The sequence below is a fragment of the Homo sapiens genome, chromosome 19 (assembly GCF_000001405.40).
Source record: "Homo sapiens chromosome 19, GRCh38.p14 Primary Assembly".
Classification (NCBI taxonomy): Eukaryota; Metazoa; Chordata; class Mammalia; order Primates; family Hominidae; genus Homo; species Homo sapiens.
Window position 1 is genome coordinate 41,552,934 of NC_000019.10, and position 22,241 is coordinate 41,575,174.

Here is a 22,241-nt window from a genome sequence, read left to right on the forward strand (position 1 = left end):
ATGGGGAAAAAGGGAAAGAAAAAGGAAACAAATGAAAAGATTATTTAGGAGACTTGTAGCCAGAGAAATACGAATTTAACCCAAACTGTAGAAAATAATAAAAACTGAATGCCAGACTAGAATTTAAAAACAGGTGTACTATAGTTTCCAAAAGTTTTTGAAACATAACTTCCCTCTCTCCAGTTACCCTTTTTTGTTGTTGTTGTTGAGATGGAGTCTTGCTCTGTCACCCAGGCTGTCGTGAAGTGGCACGATCTTGACTCACTGTAACCTCCGCTTCCCTGCCTCAGCCCCTTGAGTAGCTGGGATTACAGGCACCCGCCATCATGCCCGGCTCATTTTTGTATTTTTGTAGAGATGGGGTTTCACCGTGTTGGCCAGGCTGGTCTTGAACTCCTGACCTCAGATGATCTGCCCACCTCAGCCTCCCAAAGTGCTGGGATTACAGGAGTGAGCCACTGCACCCGACCCCAGTTTCCCGTTTTTACTAAAGACAAATTACGACAGGACCAATTTGCTTTATTATGCTTTGCCACTTTATTTGTACGAGGTGCAGCAAGAATAATTATTTTTCACATAGGCTTTTAAAATTGGTTTTAATGGGACTTTGTTTTATAGAAGGAATCTGAGATAAGACTTTTTAAAGCTGAGCCCCTGCCATGGATTTCTACCATCAAATACATATGGTTGGGTGAATTCCTGTCCTCTTGAAGTTTCAAGATAACTTGGGATTCCTGACCTGTCAGAATGTGACATTCTTTTCTTCCCACAGATCAGTAACCCTGTACAGGGACTGTGTTCACAGGATATAAGGTCAGTTTTCCAAAGGCTTTATTAGCTCCACAAGTCAAGTTTGATTCCTTAAAGGAAAGCACAGCATTCTGGTCAAAACCTTGGTAAAATAACCAGTTTTTCAAATTGTGTCCTGTTACCAAAGAAAACACATTCTTATTGCACTTATGCAAATAACTATATTGCCATAAATTAAGAATACCCACAAATAGTTTCCAAATTCTGGGGAAATCGGGTAGAGAGAAACAAATAATGCTCCAAATGGTGTTCATAGGAGTATATTTTGATTAATCGTTAAAAGCTGTCAATAGCTCAAAAGAAAATTTGCCTTGACTCTGAAAAGCAAAACAAAGGATCAGCAACGTTTTAAGCAAAAAGTCAAAAAGATCACTTCAGCCTCCTATTAGTTCACTTCATGCAGTTAATTCCTGTCCTGCTTGATATCAATGAACATTTTAGCTCTCCAAGTGTCCCGAACATTTTTCCTCTCTTCTGATGTCACAATCTCCAAAGTTATCAAAATTTGCATTTAAGAGCACCTGTTAGGGCTTTATAGCTGATTATAAAATTACCTTCTAAAGAGGGCCAAAACAAGGTAACATGTGTATATGGGTGACTGAACGTTTTAGGGTAGTCATAGTCAAAGACACAATTGACAAGGAAATCTGTTACCTCTGTGGCCCACAATAATTTAACATGACAATTATAATTATGACTGATAATGTACACTGAGATATAGCAGAATTATAGGAGTCTCCCATAACTTTGGAACCCTCATCAATAACATATTTATAGAAATATAGCCCAAAGAAAGCTAAAAATCATTTTATATTTCACAATGCTTCCTGTATGATTTTTGTACCAAATAAGCCAAATTTCACCTTTACATTAGTGTACTATTAATGTTAAACCTAATTCTTAATAAAACCTGATAGACATATTTACCCAATTTTAATGTTTGACCATAAGGTAACATTTTTATAGACTTTCTATAACCCTTTACAATTTTTGTTAAAGAGCAGGTTAGTGCTCTAAGAGAAACCCATTGTGTTTTTATTTCAATGCTCAATTTACAGAAATGCTGAATTATACCCCTTCAACTTTAGTCAATATGTTTACACACAAAAATATTTTAATTAATTTTTTCATAAACCTTTCACAACTTGCTTAAACATTTAGCTTTATTTTATCCAACTTAAAGCAATTCTTTAACCTTTTAATCTAGGCAAAAAAAATCCATCTTCTCATAAGAGCTTTAGAGACTCTTAGGCTTCTTTACTAGGACAGCTGAGCTCTAAAGCATGTGAACTTCACCCACCACAACTGTTTGCTCCATCTCAAGCTCAGAACCCTGCCCTGTCTGCCTAACCACAAGTGAGTATTTCCTGCCTTGATTTCCTGACATTTCTATATTTAATTCAGCTTGTTAAGTTCCAAGAAATCCCCTGGCAATTTTTATTATTGACCTCTTCTTCTTTGCACAGGTATCCAACCCAGTATCTACAAATAAATGCTTCACTCATCTACTCCTTTCATGAAACATTGCAAATCTTTTTCTTACTAGTGCTTGGGCTTGCTTTTTTTTTTTTTTTTTTTTCTTTGCAAGGAAACATATAGATGAGCCTCAAGAGATTTAGAAATCTTTTCAGAGTAACCAGCTGAATGTCAGAAAGTCATATTTGGAGGCCAATCTAGTTAGATTAGATAAATAGTTTTTAATTTTAACAAACTGTCTTCCTTTTCTAACTGGACCTCTGATCTCACAGAAGCCAACAAAGTATTTGCAGTTTATAGGATCTAATTTTAAAATATGTGAAGAGTAGGCACATCTGGAAGGCAGGGCATCTAGATCTTTGAAAATCAAAAATCCCGAATTTCACATTGAATCTGAGGTCTCTAAAAGAAGGGACATGCCACAAGACCAAGCCACACAATTTTTCCACACTGCACAATGCTGTAGAAACATGTCTTCAAGGCTAGTAGCACAGCAACAATCAGCCCACTTTTAATCAGACCATCCCCAAAGGAAATCATATTCATTGGTGGTGTTTTCACAGCCTTTAAACTGTGTCCAAACTGCACCTTTCTCATCTAAACTTGCAAAGAAACAAGGAGCCCCCTGCAATCACAACCATTTATTGCAACGGCTCTCAGCCATCTCCAAACTGCAGCCCTCACCAGTGACCCAGCAGCCGTTGCACTCACAAAGGACGTGTCTCTCACAGTACAAAGTAATGCCTGGTACTCACAAAACCAAAGCAATCAGCCAAGATGAAATAAAAGAGAGCAGAGCTGCAGACCTGGAGGAGCCTGTCCCTGACTCTGGACTCCACAAGGAGAACAGGAGACCCCCAAAAGGGGTGAGTGGGATCTTTTTGTGTATTTCTCAAGGAATTTCAGAGTCACTTAAAATTCCCTCTAGATCCCTTCATGTGATACCAAAGATGCCAAAAGGAAGGTAAAGAAGGGAAAAGAAGAAGTACATGGGAGAGGAATTCCTTTTAAAAAGAAGTGAGCAGAGGAACCAAGCACCTATTTGTTTTAATTCAAAATCTAATTTTATTTTGTCAAAATTTCAACTCTTATTATAGATTCAGGGGGTACATGTGCAGGGTAGTTACATGGGTATATTGTACCAAGCAATTAATTTCTAAAACGGAGTTTCACTCAAATCCAAATATTTTTCAAAACAGGAGGCAAAAGAGAAAATCCAGAAAGACTGTATGTACATATAATTAAATATTAGCTTTTCATGAAGCCGACTTCTGACCATAGAGCTCTTTGAAAAAGAAAAATAAAACCTTCCAGATCTCTTATAATCAGATTTTAGCCAACACAAAGAATTGCGATTTCCACTCTTTAAACTTTTTTTTACCAAAGGTAATCTCACCAATACTAAATAGGTAAAAAAGTCAAATGCCACGCAAACATTAAACCAAAGGCGCTGGGGCCCTGACTGGGAATTGAACCCAGGCCATGGTGGCGAAGGCATAAACTTGAAGCTAGGCCACAATATAAGGCACCTTTCATTGTGAATCCCACAGAATATTGAAAGCAGGCAGTATGAACTTCAAAAGATTTTTTTGGCAGGGGGTCAGATTTTTTATCTTTAATTTTATCAGAAGGATTTTTAATGCAAGCCATGAAATCGTTACATATCTCCTTTGAAATTTGATTGTCCCATGAGTACAAATAGGTCAATTGTTTAGAATAAAGGAATCTAAAATCTTTTTATAAATTTAGAGATTTTTCTAATTTAACAGATCCATCCTTTGACCACTGCTTAGAATTTGCGATGCCATACTTCTTCCAGTAGTGATTCAATCCAACACCTACTTCATAAAAAGCCAAGGATGTAATTTTTTCAGTTTAGTGTAAGCTTTACCATTTAAGAAGTAGGTATTTTTGTAAAGGGCCTGAAAGAGGCAATCCCAAAGATCTCCTCCCCTCCAAAAATTACTCCCAGAATTCGGCTAAGATAGCAAAAGACCCTTGTTTCCACAGCTAAGGATGGAGTTTGTGTGCATGTGGTGTCTCCAGTAAGACAAATCTGTGGGTCCTCCAGTCACAGACCCGTTACTCTGTGGCGTGTCACTTAGAATCCTTGTGTGTCTCACCCTCAGAAAATTCAGAGCTTATATCTCCTAATCCAGTTTTACCCCAAGCCTTTGTTCCTGGGTGAGCCAATTTGGAGATTCAGGAGGTATTATATTGTAGTTGGTAAATCAATTGTGATGTGGGGTCCTGTCGGGTTCGATATCACAAGCAGTATCAGCATGTGAGGACCAGAGCTGTGAACTCAACGCTGTCAATCGACAGCTTTTAGGAGTTTCTGTGAGGACTGGGTGGATTCAGGGACCCTGAAAACCATACTTGTCACCCTTCTAGTCCTGTGTGTCTGGAACTAGAAACTCTTTGGTAAGCATGGGTTCTCTCTCAGGTCCCTGGACATCCCTAAAAAGAGAGAGCATGTTTACATTGCAAGTGAACTGGCATTTCCTTTCTCTCCTGCAAAATGGTCTCGTTTGTCAACAGGGGATACATCTCTCTTCCTTTTGGGAAGTGGGAGGATGTAGGTTATTCAGTGCTGGTACTTTGATTTAGTTCCTACATTTGATCCCTCTACTTGGTGTGTAAGGTAGATGCTATTATCCTCATGTTAGAGATATGGAAATGGGCTCAGGGTGGATGAGATATTGGTTACTTTGGGAGAAGTAGCAAATGATAGAGCCAGTACTGAGCCCTGGACTATCTCCAAAAACCATGCCAAGAGTTTCGTCTGGGGACCTGAGCCTGATCATCTTACTTCCATGAAATGGGGCCTATTTTCAGGCGATAAACAACTCTACAGAAAATGTGCCATTTTAATGCAATTCCTTTTTTCAGTGTTACTCTCCTACCTTTACAACTATTATATGCTCAAAGTTAAGCTAAGTTTCGTGGAAAACAGAAAACAAAATGCTTCATAATTATAAGTCATGAGATCTACATAGCATTTAAAATTTCTCTAAGGCAAAACACATAGATGAAATTAAATGGTGAAAGTCAACCTGTAAAAAAGTGTTTTAAATTTTAAAAACATTTGACTATCTTTGAAACATCTATCTATCTATTACATCTCCTTATAATATAAAAAACCCAGCTGGGCACGGTGGCTCACACCTGTAATCCTAGCACTTTGGGAGGCCGAGGCAGGTAGATCATGAGGTCAGGAGATCGAGACCACCCTGGCTAACAGGACGAAACCCCATCTCTACTAAAAATACAAAATATTAGCCTTGCTTGGTGGCACATGCCTGTAGTCCCAGCTACTCTGGAGGCTGAGGCAGGAGAATCACTTTAACCCAGGAGATGGAGGCTGCAGTGAGCCGAGATCATGCCACTGCACTCCAGCCTGGGTGACAGAGCGAGGCTCTGACTCAAAAACAACAACAACAAAAAAAAACCTTCAACATTTATACAAACAAATAAATGTCTCTAGTATAAAAATTAACAGAAGCTATGAGAAGGCAGATCATAAATGAAGTGCAAATGCTGAATGAGCACAGGCAAAGATTCTTATCCTCAGTAATAGATAATTAATCATAAACTTAAACGATGTATTAAAATATATATTCTCTGTTTAAAAAGTAAAAGACAACATACTGCTTTAGTAAGCCTTAATTAAACAAACTTTCATGGTAAAATTTCATTAGAGAATTTGTGCAGGCTTTGGGGAAAATCATGTATTCATTGGTTTGGCATCTCTGTCTTTAAAAAGCCACTTGAGTGTCACACTTTAATAGGAGATTTGAATACATTCCTACCTGTAATTGATAAATCAAGCAGTCAAATGAATCAGTAAACATATAGACTATTTGAACAATGTGAGAAGCTTGATCTAACAGATTTATGTATTTTACTGGAAGTTTTTTAAAGCACACATGGAAAACTTAGGAAATTTTGCCATATATTATGCCAAATACTACAGCTCAGAAATTACTCATCGATTGTATGCACTGCACAGACCATGTTTTGTGGCCACTGTGCTAAATTAGAAGAATAAAAGTATAACCAGAAAATGTATCTTTAGAAACAACATTTCAAATAAAACATCATGGATTTAAAAACAAGTGATAATTAAAATTTGAGAATATGTCTTACCAAAAATGAAGACTTTATGTAAAAGCACATAGGGTGTAGCTGAAGTGGTACTTGTGGGCAAATGTAAACTGCTAAAATGCTTACAGTAGAAAAGATTTTTAAAAGAGGTGGTAATTCATGAGCTACTTACCCATTTTTATAGTAAGAAAAGAGCAATGTTTCAAACAGGAAAAGAAATAAATATAAAGGCAAAAAATAAGAAAATAGTTAATATGTATGAAAAAAGAATCAACAAGTCAAAAGATGTTCTTTAAAAAGCAAAGTTCCAGCAGGATTATTAAGAAAAAGTGAGAGAAGACGCCAGTACTCATAAATAGGAATGAAAATGGCAACAGTTACAGACAACAGACAATGAAAGGACACTGAGCACCCTTATGCCAAATGCATTAAACATTAGATAAAATGGATGAACACCTAGAAAACTAAAGGAAACCAGAACTGGGTCAGGCAGGAAAAGAGGCTGGATGTGATGCTGCATGCTTGTAGTCCTAGCTACTGGGAAGGCTGAGGCGGGAGGATCTATTGAGATCGGAAGTTAGAGGCTGTAGTGAGCCAGGATCAGGCCTGTGAACAACGTTGCATCTCAGCCTGGACAACAGGGCAATACAGAGAGACTTCCTCTCAAAAACAAAACAAAACAAAACAAAACAAAAAGCATGAGTAGCCCTATCAACCAATAATGAAACTGAATTGGTATTTTTCATCCTTCCAATACAGGTAACACCAAAGCCAGATTATTTTACAGAGTTCTCCCATTATTCAAGAAACAGTTAATTACAGTCTTACACATACTCTCCCAGAAAATGGAAAAAAGGAAGCAGATGCTTAGCTCTTTTATCTTTTCCTTTTTATTTCTTCTTTTTTTTTCTTTTGAGACAGGGTCTCGCTCTGTCATCCAGGCTGGAGTACAGTGGCACAATCATAGTTCGCTGCAGCCTCAAATTCCTAGGCTCAAGCAATCCTCCTGCCTCACCCTCCCAAGTACCTAGGACTACAGGTACTCACTGCCATGCCTGGCTAATTTCTATTTTTCATAGAGATGGGGGTCTCACTATTTTGCCCAGACTGGTCTTGAACTCCAAACCTCCTGCCCCGGCCTCCATTAGGGCTGGTTTCTTAGCTCTTATTGTGAGGCTATTATAACTTTGACCCCCAAACCAGAAAAAAATACAGAAAGGAGAATAACAGGCTAATCTGAGCATATACAAAAAATCCTAAAAGAAAATTTAGACACAAGACAGCAGTAAATAAAACAGATATTGTTCAGTGACAAGTGGGTTTTCTCCCAAGAATACAGTTAAACAGTAGAAACTCAGTTCAATGTAATTCATAACTTTGGTGACTTAAAGAAAGTAAATCATATGAATTTTTCAAATGATGTCTCCAGAAAAAGCTTTAGCTCAAATTCAGCCTGAATTTATGCTAAAAACTCAGTAAACCAGAAATAAAAGTGAATTACCTCAATCTAAAAAAGAGCGTCTACAAAATGCTACAGAAAGCATGCTTTATACAATCAGAGAGCAAGACAAGGGTGTTCACCATCCCCACTTTATGAGAAAAAAGACCCCACAATATATAGAGGGATATTGCCTTGCAGCAAGACAAAAATATAAAATAAAAGGTCCAAGAAATAACAAAGAAGAAACAATTATAATTTACAGATGACATTATTGTCTATATGGAAAACTCAAAAGAATCTGATATATTGTTAGAATCAAAAGATTGTTGAACAAGGTTATCAGATATAAAAATCCATATATGAGACACAATGACATTTGTTGAATAACAGCAAATGCAATTTTTAAAACAAACTTTTTGAGACAGGGACCTCATTATGTTGCCCAGGCTGGTCTTGAACTTCTGGACTCAAGCAATCCATCTGCCTCAGCCTCCCAGGTATCGGGGATTACAGTACAAGCCACTGTACCCAAAAAGTGCAATTAAAAAAAATTTGTAATAGCAAGCTAGGAAGAAAGACTTTCACATGCAAGGCCTCTATGTAGAAAAACATGAAACCTGGTTGAAAGACAATAAACAATAACTAACAGACCATAAAGATATAAATAACTAAACAGGTGGGGGTGGGGGAGAGAGAGAGAGAGTCTGTGTTCATTAATAGGAAGACTTGGTATTATGAAAATACTTTCCCCAAATTATGTATAGAATTATGAACTTCCAAATAAAATCCTTGCAGTTGTCTTTTAGCTGGACAAGCCAATTCTAAAATTCATGTGGTACAACAAAGAACCCTGAAGAAGAGTAACAAGGGGGCAATTGCCTACTGCACATCAAGTTGTCTCATAAAGCTCTGCTATTTAATATTTAAGACAGCGTGCTATTGGTATGCTGGTGGCACAGAGTGAAAAATCAGGAACTATTTCTACACATGCATAGAAACTTTATAATAAAGGTAGCATTACAGATAAATTGGGGAAAGAGAAGCAGTATTCATTCATGATTCTTGAGAAATTGGTCAGTCTACACACAAAGACCCTTGGGGATGTGTTTGAATTAGATAGAAAAAGTACTAATATAAAAGCAAAATATGATACATTCTATTATATTAAAAGTAACATCTACTTAAGAAAGAACACAGGCCAGGTGCTGTGGCTCACGCCTGTAATCCCAACACTTTGGGAGGCCAAAGAGGGTGGATCACCTGAGGTCAGGAGTTCGAGACCAGCCTGACAAACATGGTGAAACCCCATCTGTACTAAAAATACAAAAATTAGCTGGGTGTGGTGACAGGCACCTGTAATCCCAGCTACTTGGGAAGCTGAGGCAGGAGAATCACTTGAACCCAGGAGACGGAGGTTGCAGTGAGCCGAGATCGGCCAGTGCACTTCAGCCTAGGTGACAGAGCAAGACTCCATCTCAAAAAAACAAAACAAAACAAAGAAAGAAAGAAAGAAAAAACACTATAAAGAAAGTTTTTTTTAAGAAAAAAAAAAGAAGAAGAAGACACAAACTGGGAAAGAGATGTGCAGCACATACAGTTGACAAAGAATCTGTGTCCAGAATATGTAAATAACACAAAGCACGAAGGAAAAGACACACGACACAATAGAAAAGCTGAAGATGTCACATCCTAAAATTGTGTCTGCATACAACAGGAAATATGTATAAAGAGGTATGTCCACCATGGCAGCATGTATACAGCAAAAATACAAAACCAAAAAACACCCCAAGTGGTCACCAAAAACATGAGAGAAATAAAATGTGGCATATTAATGCAACAGGAGAATACCTAATAATAAAAATGCAAAAACTACAGCCAGCCACGCACATCTACAGGAGTGAAATTTGAGAACATAATTTTGACCGAAAAAAAAAGCAAGTATTTGAAAATTCAGTATTTCTTTTTTCTTTTTTTTTTTGGAGACAGAGTCTGGCGCTGTCGCCCAGGCTGGAGTGCAGTGGCGCGATCTCGGCGCAGTGCAAGCTCCACCTCCCGGGTTCACGCCGTTCTCCTGCCTCAGCCTCCCAAGTAGCTGGGACTACAGGCGCCCGCCACCACGCCCGGCTAATTTTTTGTATTTTTAGTAGAGATGGGGTTTCACTGTGTTAGCCAGGATGGTCTCGATCTCCTGACCTCGTGATCCGCCTGCCTCCGCCTCCCGAAGTGCTGGGATTACAGGTGTCAGCCACTGCGCCCAGCCTCAGTATTTCATTTTCAAGAAGTTTAAAAGCACATAACGAAATATATGGTTTTTCAGGATGCAGAGTGTGGTTGAAAATAATAACAGTAAGAGTATTCTAATATTTTGCATATTGGCTACTGAGAGTGGGGTGGGGAATGGAATTGGGTTGGGATACACAGCAGAGTTGGGGATACTGGTTCTGTTCTTTCTTAAGGTGGGTGAAGATAGTCTTGTTGTTTTCACTGTTGCTCTCCAAGGGGCAGGACACTGATTGCAGCAGCCCAGCCAGGTCCTATGCGAGGCCACCGCTGTCCTGGCCACCCCGGGACAGGGGCCTTGGCTACTCTCCCACACCTGTCTGGGCTGTTCCTCGGCGCTTCTGAAATCCCATCCCAGCCAGGGAAGGAACCCTGGTGGGGTGGAGTGGAGGCGAGGCACTCTGTAACCCCATCGGGGTGTGGAGCAGCTCTAGGTCCCAAAAGGCCACTAGGCATGCGCAAGGTCGCACATGCAGAAGAGAGACCCCTGCTCAGAGGCCAGAGCCGGCATGAGGCGGTCAGAGAGGATCCCCTAGTGGTGGAGGTGGAAAATTGCAAGGACGGAAAATTCCGCGTGAAAGGCGGACTTTGAACAGATCCCATCCAGGGAGCTGCTCTGCTGCAGAGAAAACTCGGACCCAGAAGCAGCTCCTCTAGGAACGGATTAGCTTCAGGGTTGTCACCAACCTGCCTTGAGTGAAGGGCAAGGGGGTGGTCCCTTTTCCACTGGACGCCATTTCCCTGGACAAGGGGCTCTCAGCACAGGACCTAGGCAGTGGCTGGGGGCTGGCACAGTGGTGGACTCTCTATCCCAGGCCAGCCGAGGCTCCATGGAGCTGCCCTAAGGCTCAGCCTGGGCGGATTCTGACTTAGAGGCTTCAGTCATCATCCCGCAGATGGCAGCTTCACCCATTGGCCCCTCAGCCAAGCACAGGCACCAAGTATCTGAATCTGCAGGGCCTCTGGTACTGGGCAGGATCGCCATGGCAACAACACATCATCACCAGGGTAAACCTAGCCTGTCTCACCTGGTCTAAACCAGCTCAGGTTCTCTGAGTGGGTGAGCAATCGTAGAAATTCTGCCTTACAATGAAAAAAAGAACCCACAGACAGGGATGAAAAATCGAGGGCATTGTGAACGCTTGCTGGCCACAAGCCAGCTAGCCCTGTGGTAACATTTCTGACACCTCCTGCTTAAAACCCAAAAGGTCAGAAAGATCCTAAGGCCCCGCTTTCACCTTCTGAATTCCTGCCGCAAATAAAGACCAAGGAGTGAGTTATTTATTATTTATTTATTTATTTATTTATTTATTTATTTATTATTTTGCCCTCCTGCTCCTCGGGAGGCTTCTGTCCTGAGCTCGCCTTAGCTAATCCTGCGTTACCGTTCGGCAGGTGTGCGCCTCAATCTCCCCACCTTACCGCCAGGGAACTTAGCCTGACGACACTCCGCCCCATCGGGTCAGGGAAAAACGGTAGGAGTAGTGGAATTTCACATTTCGCCCTCTGCCTGCATGGCCAGTCAACTCCGCCCCTCGCGGAAACAGGGGGTGGGCGCGGGACCAACTACTGATCCCCTCCCCTGTCTCTTCACAGCGCTGCAGTCAGGCTCAGCCGATGCTTCTTTCCTGCAGGTTCCGCCGAGCCCGTCCCTTGGCGGTGGTGTCACTGGATGCTGGGAAGAGATGGTGGGAAGAGCCTCCATCCATTGGCGCGTCACTAATTAGACAAGGAGGCCTTGGGCTCCCTTGAGAGAGTCACGGTTTCTCCTCCGTTGACCCGCCCTTCATTGAACTCCTTTACTTGGATATTCAGAGCGCTGGACAGAGATCACTTGGCGCTAACACCCTCGGAGGTCCTCACGGCGCTCCGTCGGAATGACACAGTCGGATTCCCAAGCTGCGAAGGGTGAGGGAGGGACTGCAGCGCAGGAACTGAGGAGGAGAGGCCCGCGCGCCCACTGGAGCCGAGCGGTGAGGAATAACCGGACCGACCCCCGACGGTGCGTGGTGAGTCTCCCCAACCTGCACCATTCGCGCCCCGAGGCGCCCCAAGCGCGGCTGGGAGGCCAGCTGTGGCTGGGACGATTCACTAGAAGGGCCGGCCTGCGTCGAGTTTCCAGGGTGGCCGCCAGTGACCCCGGCGGGGCCCATCCCCCTTGCCCTCAGAGCCCGCCCCGCCCCGCTCCCCTGTGGCACCGCCACCGCTACTCCAGGAGGCACAGTGGGGAGGAGAAGGGGGTGGGGAGCCTAAGGAGAGGAGTGAAGGTGTCCTGGCCTGCCTTGGGGAAGGGGCGGGGGCGGGTGCCTCTGGGACACCCAGCCCGGGGGATCAGCCCTGAGAGCCAGTCCTTACCCTGAAGTTACAGATCTGGCTTCCAGATTTCTGTAACCTACCTTGTTCCAACACAGGCCTGAGGCTGTTCCTGTTAGAGACCTGTTGCGGATACGGGTAGGGCCCTGCGGGAGATTTACATCTCCAGTCTTCCCCCCCGCCCCCCGCCCCCCTTGTTTTTCACAGACAGGCTAGAGCAGCGGCGCTATCATAGCTCACTGCAGCCTCGAACTGGTGAACTGGAGGGATCTTCCCAACCATCTTTTGTCTTTTTTAAGAAGAAAAATACAAAAGCTTTTATATAGGCTTACACACAGCTACAGAGCAAATCTTTATCGTATATCCAAGATTATCAACCACTTGACTGTACAACCAGGAATCATAACACATTTGAGAACAACCAGTGGCAAAATAGGAAAATGGGCCAATGAAGAAGATAGGTGACTAATAAATAAAAATCTGATATCAAGTGTAGGCAAGTTGTAGGGAAAATGGGTGATGAACGAATAGAACAAATGCCTGGGGTAAACATCATTCGAAAGCCCAGAAAGAAGCTTTTAGACATCTTTATTGCTTTTTGGGGGGGCGGGGGGGGTGGGGTTCTGGAGGATTGATGGCTGAACTCTCATGAAAAGGGTGCAGTCAGAGAACAAGAAAGAGTTCCCAGGAATTAAAATTGTAAACAGAAAAGCAAATTCAGGGTAATTGCTGAAAGACCCACCAAAGGATCTCCAAGATACAATTGAGAAAATCAACCCTAACATAAAGGCAAAAGACAAAGGTGGGTTATTTGAGCGAGAAGTGGTTTGAGGATTTGCAAATATTTGTTTAGTATTGAATATGTGCCAAGCACACATTACAGAATACGTTACTTATGGGAAGTAACTTAGCCTTGAAGTAGCTCTGTGAGGATGCATGTGTTTCCTTTACCTATAATTCTATAGGAAAGGCAATTTTTAAAAATAAATCAAGGTTGGATTTCATCAATTTTACAGAATACGCATAACTTTATAAAATTTTCAAAATTCTCTAAAAACCTATTGAGATAATTAAACAAGCGTTTTTCTCCTTTAGTCTGTTAATGTGGAGAAGTATTTTCTGATGTTGAAACATACTTGCATTCCTGATATAAGCCATACGTATGATAACATATTTTGCTTGTTTGCTATTATTAATTCTGAATTTGGTTCACTAAGATTTTGTTTGATTTTGCATGTATATTTGTAAGTGAGATTGGTCTATAATTTTCTTGTGTGGTTTTGGTATCATGCTATAACAGCTTCTGAAAATGTGTTAGAAAGTGTTTTCTTGTTAAAGTTTTAAACCTTCTGAGAATTGGTTGAGGAGGAGCTTGAAAATTTGTTAAAATTCACCATAAAAATATCAGGACCTGAAATTTTGTTATTGTTGTCAGTAAATAAAAATTATCAACTGTCTTTTTAATTGCTTTACTGATTATTGCTCTATTCATAATATCCATTTTTTCATGAGTCAGTTTTGGTAATTTACATTTATCGAGATAGTTGTCCGTTTCATCTAAGTTTTAAAATATATTGGTACAGCTATTGTGGTATTCTCTGAATAATTTTAAAATCTCTCTTGTGTCTTCCTGATTTGTCCTATTTAAATTTTTTTGATTAATCAATTTATATTTTCATATTGTTTTCTCTCTCTCTCTCTCTCATAATGTTATGGTTTAGATAGGAATGGTCCAGGGTGGAATGACACAAGTAAAGAAACAATAATGTGGTTTTGTGTACTATAAGGAAACATATAAAAGAAGGCATGGGAATACAAAGGAATCAATTAATTGCACATTAAGTATTTGTTAAGGTCCAATAATTTGAAAAATATTAAGAAAAGTGATACTGTCCTTGCTGGACATAGGACATTAAACAGACCCTGTTAAACAATGTTGAGAACAAATTAAGGCTATTTAAGGTAGTTCGATAGCAGTCAATTATAAAATGTGCATATCTTGTGATTGAGCAAATGCACTTCTAGATATTACTATATAGAAATGTAGAAGTGTGCCAAGCTAAACAACCATAGATGTTCATTGCAGCCCTGTTTGAATGGTCATAGAAAATCCGGGATGAGAGTCCAAAGACTCAGCAAACAACAATTTAGCAATTTTGCTACTGCATAAAAGGGTGCCCCCTTTTCAAGCCCACAACAGAGATGTTGCTACTAATCCTGAATTCAACCCAGTTTGTTGCACATTTTAGGATTTCATCCTGATGACTAATTTTAGGGTCACCTATATTTGGTTACCACCTCTATTTGGTTGCAAATAAAACCGAGCACAAGTTGACTGGCAGAAAAAGAGACTGTGCTAGCTCATATCATTGTAAAGTCAGCCAGAAATTTGGCTTATGGCAAAGTTTGGTCTAAGACTCAAACAATCTCGCTAGATCTCCTGACAGTAGGGAAGATGGTGGGTCCCAGTTTTTTTTGTTTTGTTAATCAATAGTGAGGATTGGGAATGTGGAGAAGAAAGGAGGAAGATGCAGTAAAAAAAAAAAAAAAAATGCTTTGGACTTTCCAGACCCTGCATCATTTTGTTTTGGGATTGGCTTCCTTCTTCCTTTTTAGTGCTTCATGATTCACCCTTCATCCTACAGACATAGGTGTTGATGATGGATCATTGAGGGATGTGCTTGACATTTTGGGAACAAGTGGCCTTTGAGGATGGGACTGTGGATGTGGCCTCTGTATCCCAGTCAGATAAAACTATACAGAAACATAATTTTCTTATATATTTTGGATATTATCTTCTTATCAGATGTATATATTTACAAATATATATGTATATATTTACAAATATATTCTCCTCCCATTTGTAGGTTGTCTCTTTGCTCTGCTGGCCTTTTTTTTCTTTGCTGTATAAAAGCTTTTTAGTTTGATGAAATCCCGTTTGTTTATATTTGGTTTTGTTGCTTATGCTGTTGAGATTTTATCCAAAAACTCTTTGCCTAGACCAATGTCATGGATTTTCCCCCTATATTTTCTTCTAGTAGTTTCATAGTTTCAGTTCTTACATTTAAGTCTTTATTTAATACATTTTGAGTTAATTTTTTGTGCATGGTGAGGGATAGGGTCTAGGTTCATTCTTCTGCATATGAATATCCAATTCCCCAGCACCACTTATTGAAGAGGCTGTCCTTTCCCCATTGTGTGCATGTGGCTCCTTGGCTGAAAATCAGTTAGCTAGAGATGCATGGGTTTATTTCTGGGATTTTTATTCTGTTTCATTGATCTATGTGCTTGTTTTTATGCCAGGACCATGCTGATTTGGTTACTATAGCTTTGCAGTATGCTTTGATTGTCAGGAAGTGTAATGCCACTAGCTTTGTTCTATTTGTTTAAGATTGCTTTGGCAACTCAGGGTGTTTTGTGCAGGTTTTAGGAATTTTTGTGGTTTCTAATTTTAGGATCTTCTACTTCTTCGAAGAATATCATTGGTGTTTTGACAGAAATTGCATTGAATCTGTAGACCACTTTGGGTGGTAAGGACATTTTAGCAATATCAGTTCTTCCAATTCATGAACATGGAATATCTTCTATTTGTGCGTGTGTCTTTTTCAATTTATTTCATCAATGTTTTACAGTTTTCATTATAAAGGTCTTTTACTTCCTTGGTTAAATTTACTTCTTTTGTTTCAGCTATCATAAAAGATAGCTTAAAAATTTTAGCAGTAGATAGCTAAGAATAAATTGTATTCTTTTTCAGATAATTCATTATTGGCTATTACTGGTATTACTGGTGGACTATTGCATAGCATGGTTGATTAGAGTTAACAATAATGTATTCCATATTTCTTTTTTTTTTTTTACTTTTATTTTTTGAGACAGGGTCTCGCTCTGTTACCTACACTGAAGTATACAGTGGCACAATCTCAACTCACTGCCAACTCAGCCTCCCCAGCTCAAGCAATCCTCCCACCTCAGCCTCCTGAGTGACTGGGACTACAGGTGTATGCCACCATGCACAGCTAATTTTTGTCTTTTTGTAGAGACAACAACTCGCTATATTGTCCAGCCAGCATAGTCTTGAACCCCTGGGCTCAAGCAGTCCACCCATAATGGATGAGAAAGTGTTGGGATTACAGCTGAGATGGGATTGCGGGGGGCGGGTTGGGGAAGGTGAGGTTCAGAGAGGGCAGGGCCTGCAGGGAGAGGGGCTGCAGGGAGCTAGATACTGCCCCCCAAGGAGGAGGGAGCACTGTTCCCATCAGAGTGCACATCTCCTTGCAGCAGCTGCACAAATAGAGAGCCCTGGCCAGGCTGATGGAGCCTCCCATGCCTGCTTTGCCCCAGGGTGTGGATTCTGAAATCTGTGCCCCTAACGGGTGGGACTGAGGTCCACAGTGACATCCCAGGGGAATCTATGATTCCAAACTCCAGCCACCCCGCCTACAAAATAGGAAAACGCTATGCTTTTCCTATTAAATCCCAAATTCCATCAGTGCAAGCTCTCACCCTCTAAATCAGAAAGTTCAGTCATTCCTGGCGTCCTCCCACACCCCCAGCCTGACTTGCAGACACACAGGGTGGCTGACACCTGTCCCTGCTCCTCCCCCTGGCCCAGCTGCTGTGCATCCTGGAGGTGATGAATGATCAGGACAAGGGAGCCTAGAGCGGGCCCCACAGCTGTCAGGAAGCCAGGACTCAGCCTCCAGGCGGCAGTCACCCTGGTGCCACAGCGACAGCGCTGATGGCCATTCTGAAGACTGGGGGTGTCAGGAGAGCTGGGCGTCCCACAGAACTGCACAGAATAATGGGGAACGAGGGTGACACAGGACTCAGGATTTCAGATGGGTAGGTAGGCTCAGCTGGGAGCTCAGGGACAGACCTGAGGAGCCTCAGTGGGAAGTGCTGAAGTGGAAAGTTCTGGAATGTTTCAGGAAAAAGGCTGGAGGCTTAGAGGAAAGGCTGTCGCTCCTAATATGGCTGGCAACCCTGGATGGGCTGTGTTCCTCCCACCTGCCCATCCTCTCACTGCTGCCACCTCTAGGGACACAACCTCTCTTCATGTCCACCTTCCCAAACTCACCTGCACTCCTCCATTATCTGACTTTATGTGAAAGCAGTGCTAAGATCCCTCTCCTGCAATGCAAGAAGGAGATGAGAGGCCCGGGTCCCCACAGACAACTCAGCAGTGGGGTCCTGCTGAAGTGGGACCGGGCAGAATCATGCACTCCCAACATCCTGGATCCTGACTGGGGGTAACAGTGAAGTTCAAAGACCATGCCATCAAAATCTCCAGAGTGAGGCTCCTCCCTGGGGTCCCTGAGGTCTGTCCAGGAGCTGCTCCCTGAGCAAATCTAGAGCGTGGAGGGCTGGGGTTGTGGCAGTAAAAGCAGCCACATTTGTCTCAGGGTGGAAAGGGAGACGGTGAGCTCCAGTAAGGGCAAGGGCGCCATCTAGTGGGCGCCTCCTGCTAAGGAGCAAGGAGACCAGGAGAGCGGAGATCAGGGCTGGCCTTGGACTAAGGGGTGAGTTCAGGTGGAGGGGACTGAGGTGTAAGGAGGCGGGTGAAGTGGGGAAGTGGTGGGGAGACATGGGAGGAGCAGGTGAGGGGAAGCTTCAGGGAAGCTGCGGGAGGGCACAGCAGGGCTCTCCACTCCTCAGCATTGACATTTGGGTGGTCAAACTGGTGGGGCTCTGTGAACTGCAGGGTGTTCAGCACCATCCACCCACTCAATGCCAGCAGGACTCCCTCCCCCAGCTCTGACAACCAACAATGTTTCCAGACTTTGCCAAATGTCCCCTAGAGGGCAAAATTTCCCCTGGCAGAGTCACTGATCCACACTAATCTCTAATAACAATTCACCAGTAAAATCCTTCACTTGGGAGAAGAATCGCATGTGTGGGAAGAGTAGAAACTTATATCTTCAATATCTGTCAAAATGGCTTTCATTTATTCCATAATTTGATGTACCAGGAGAAGGCATGTTTAGAGATGATGCCATTTGGCTGCCTGTACCTCACAGCAGGAATGACATGGGCTTTCCAAGGATCTATACAACAAAAACCAGAATGACACACACTGAGTTACACTACAAAGTGGGACATGGGGGATCCTGTAGACATTGAAAGAAGAAAATGCATGACCCCAAGGCACCAGATAGTCCACTCTGATGCTCTCACCATCCTAGAAAACATCTCAGCCATGAATGCAGTCACATATGTCATTAGGAAGGAATGTCTTATTAAGGGGAAAATTGTAGCAAAGGAATTTCTGTTTATGTTCAAATTTGTAGACTTTTGTATTATTCTTTAAATAAGAATCTACTCTCCCCCAAAATGAATGCAATCAGTGTCTGGACAGTGTTGGGGTCTTACTCCTGGCCCCTGGGAGCTGGGAGCTGACAGTGCCCTGCTGCCCCAGCCCTGGGCCTTCTCTGAACCTCAAGAACACTGGATGGCCCCCATTTAGGGAGTAGAGAGGAGAGGTCTTTTAAACATCCTCACCAGTCACCTCTCCACCTTTCAGACCCTGGGCAGAATCTGTTGCCCACTCTTGGATTTGATCTTTAAGTTACTGACTTTAAAGCATTTTGACACTTTTTTTTTTTTTTGGTAGTCAGAAGCTTTCCACCTCCTTGGGAAAAGTGATTCTCTACTCTATGTACAGGAATAACCAGTAGAAATAGAGAAAAAATGCATTAATATTCAGAAAGAAGATGATCTCTATGTGAACAAATGAAAGCTTAAAATCATCAGAGTCAACATAAAATCAACATTGCCAGTGCTAAAACTACAAAAGTGACATTAACGGTGAACTAGAAGAATAAAACAAGCATTACAGTTGCTGGTAAACCTAAATCACTTATTTTTTTAAAAGACCATTCTGGTATATTGCAATGATGACAGGAGTGCCCTTCAGTCAATATGATGCCTGTAATTTTTGTGACCTGGCAAGATATACTGTCCCTTCTCCTTTTAAATCTCAAATGCAAAATGAGAGGCAACTCCTGGGTCACCCCCTCCCAGAGCAAACTGCCTGCAAGCAGCCCCTGGAAGAGCAGAGGCCCTAGTTTCCCTGATCCTCAAGGCAGGAGCGATGGGAAGCTCCCTGTAAGCCGGGGGAGAGCTTTGTTCCCAGAATGTTCCTCCTCTTCCCAGAGGCACCAACCCCGATGCCCTGACACTTACCTTCTGCTCTCTCGCCCAATGTTCACTCAAATATTGAGTGCTTGGTGAGTCTGCAGAGCTCAGGAACTTCTGGGAGCCAAATCACCACCAGCTCCTCCAGAAAAGATACCTGTGCACACCCAAAACCACCCCACTGAGCCCTGCCTGGGGTCTGTACCACATCCAGCATGTGCACTGTGAGCATAGAATCCGGCCCTGAATTCATGACCACCCACCAACATGCCCCCAACTGAAACCAGCAAATTCCCACACATGGCAAGCACTGAGGCTTGGAGGTGCTTTCTCACGAGGTGGTTCTGCTTCCACCATGGGGTGGTTGTCACTGACACTGGAAGTTGCTCAGCACCTGATAGTGGTGCAGGACTCAGGGACCCTCAACATCAATCTGGTGAAGGCAGATGGGGCCCCTCCAGATCTTCTCCCACCTGCAGGTGCCCAGCTCAGTAAGACCCCAACCCTGGGAGGAGGATCCAGACCCCTGTGCCAGGTAGACCAAGCTTGAGGCCTCAGGCAATGAGAGAGAAGGAGATGGAGGTCTGACCAGGAGCTGCTCTTCCTTGAGAGCCCGGGTCCCTTCCTTGTGCAAAGGCTTGGCTTATGAACAGAATCCTCAATCTGTAGTGACAGTGCCTAAGAGGATGACATGGACTCCGGCCTGATGTGCAGCCGTCCCTGTCTAACCCCTCCCTGCTGCAGGACAGCACCAGCCCAGGAGAGGAATCCTCAGTTGGGGAGCCAGTAAGAACATGGAATACTCGGGGCCTCTTACCTTCCTCCAGTCCACAGCAGCAGCCACCGTTTGTGCCTAGGACACCCACCTGCTGGCCCTTCTGACCCTTACAGTCAGGCCTTCCAGATGCCACTCCTGACTCAAGGCCCAGCTACTTTCACCCTGCTGAGCCCTGCTCCTCCCAACCAGGGTCACTGCCTTGCTAAGCACCTCCTCCAGCTCCAGCTGACTGGTCACCCAACACCCAAACCCCAGAGGACAAACAAGAAAATAAACAGATATGAAGTCTGAAGGAGATGCAGGCTATGAAGACAAATAAAAGAGTAAGCATGAATATAACTCCACCAACAAAATTGTTTCCCAAAACAAAATCTTCTGTGCCCATGATCATGGAACTAATTGTCCCTCACTATGTAGGCAAGCACTTCCAGGGTCTCTCAATTATTTCATGGGTGTCAATATACACTGTAACATAGCAACTCAGAAAAGAAAGTGGGAATAATTTATCTACTTAGATTAAGGTCCTAAAAAGGTCTCCAGACTGCCAAAAAAGGAGAGCTGAACCACTCCTGCTTTGAGAACCATTGAACTACATCTTTTTTAAAAGTCACCCCAGAATGGCCAAAACAATCTGGAAAAAAAAATTGGAGGACTCACTTCCTAATTTGAAAACTTACTAAAACACTACAATCATTAAAACAGTGTGCTTCTGGCACAAGAATGCACATAGAGATCAATGGAATAGAATCAAGAGTCCAGAAATAAACCCTCACCATTACAGCCCATTGGTTTTTGACATGGGTGCCAAGATTCCTCAATGGGGAAAGAATGGTAGCCTCTTCATATTGTGCTGGAACAACTGGATAACCACATGCGAGATAGTGTAGTTAGACCCCTACCTCACAGCCCATACAAAAGTTAACTCAAAATGTTTCAAAAACCTAAATGGAATAGCAAAACTTATCAAACCATTAGAAGAACATATAGGAGTAAAACTTAATGATCTTGGATTGGGCAATGGTTTCTTCAATATGACATCAAGAGCATAAGTAACAAAATTAAAAATAGATAAGTGAACTTCATCAAAGTTAAAAATGTTTGTGCTTCAAAGAACACCATGAAGAAAGTGAGAAGACACAGAATATGAGAAAAATTTTGCAAATCATGTACCCCATAAGGGACTTGTATCTAAAATATATAAAGAACTATTACAACTGAATAATAAAAAGATAACCCATTTTTTTTAAACAGCAAATGATTTGAATAAATAGTTCTCTAAAAAATATTAAAATTGTCAGCAAATACATGAAAAAATGCTCAACTTCATCAGCCACCAGGGAAATGAAAATCAAAACTGCAATGAGCTATCACTTCACACCTACTAGAATGGCTATAAGTTTTAAAAAATATTAAATAGTAAGTGTTTACAAGAATGTAGAGAAAATGGAACCCTCGTATATTGCTGATGGGAATATAAAATAGCACAGCAAACTGGAAAACAGTTTGGCTGTTTCTCAAAAACTTAAACATAGAACTACCACATGACCCCATATTTATACTCCTATATGTACCCCCAAAGAAATGAACACAGAAACCCAAACAGATACTTCCAAGTGTAAGTTCATTGCAGCGGTTTTCACAATAGCAAAAATGTGGAAACCACCCACATGTCCATTAAGAGATGAATGAATTAAAATTGAGGTATAAACATATATTGGGATATTACTCAGCCATAAATAGGAAAGAAGCTGTAATATATGCTACGACGTGGATGAATCTTAAAAGTGTTACCCTAAGAGAAATAATCCAGAAAAAAATAATACACGTATATAATTCCTTATTATATGAGACATGTAAACTAGGCAAATTCACAGAGATTGATAGTATCAGAGGCTACCAGTG

At 42.1% G+C, this 22,241-nt stretch overlaps 1 protein-coding gene and 1 pseudogene across 1 annotated transcript in view, besides 2 other annotated features; one reads left to right on the plus strand and one right to left on the minus strand.

The window, feature by feature from the left end:
- Positions 1 to 22,241, plus strand: part of CEACAM21 (CEA cell adhesion molecule 21) — a 37,327-nt gene that overhangs the window by 3,416 nt on the left and 11,670 nt on the right. Inside the window, exon 2 of the mRNA NM_001288773.3 lies at positions 11,749 to 12,123. The gene's annotated coding sequence lies outside the window, so the exon portion shown is untranslated. The remainder of the gene's footprint in view (positions 1 to 11,748; positions 12,124 to 22,241) is intronic.
- Positions 10,486 to 10,780: an enhancer, noted in NCBI's record as "tiled region #9744; HepG2 Activating non-DNase unmatched - State 22:ReprW, and K562 Activating DNase unmatched - State 22:ReprW". NCBI's record gives its function as "activates a minimal TATA promoter and a strong SV40 promoter by Sharpr-MPRA in HepG2 cells, with weaker activation in K562 cells {active_cell/tissue: HepG2 | K562}" and the evidence as "EXISTENCE:reporter gene assay evidence [ECO:0000049][PMID:27701403]".
- On the minus strand, positions 10,681 to 12,519 carry LOC110467527 (RNA, 28S ribosomal pseudogene; annotated as a pseudogene).
- Positions 16,899 to 17,193: a silencer, noted in NCBI's record as "tiled region #9748; HepG2 Repressive non-DNase unmatched - State 22:ReprW". NCBI's record gives its function as "represses a minimal TATA promoter and a strong SV40 promoter by Sharpr-MPRA in HepG2 cells {active_cell/tissue: HepG2}" and the evidence as "EXISTENCE:reporter gene assay evidence [ECO:0000049][PMID:27701403]".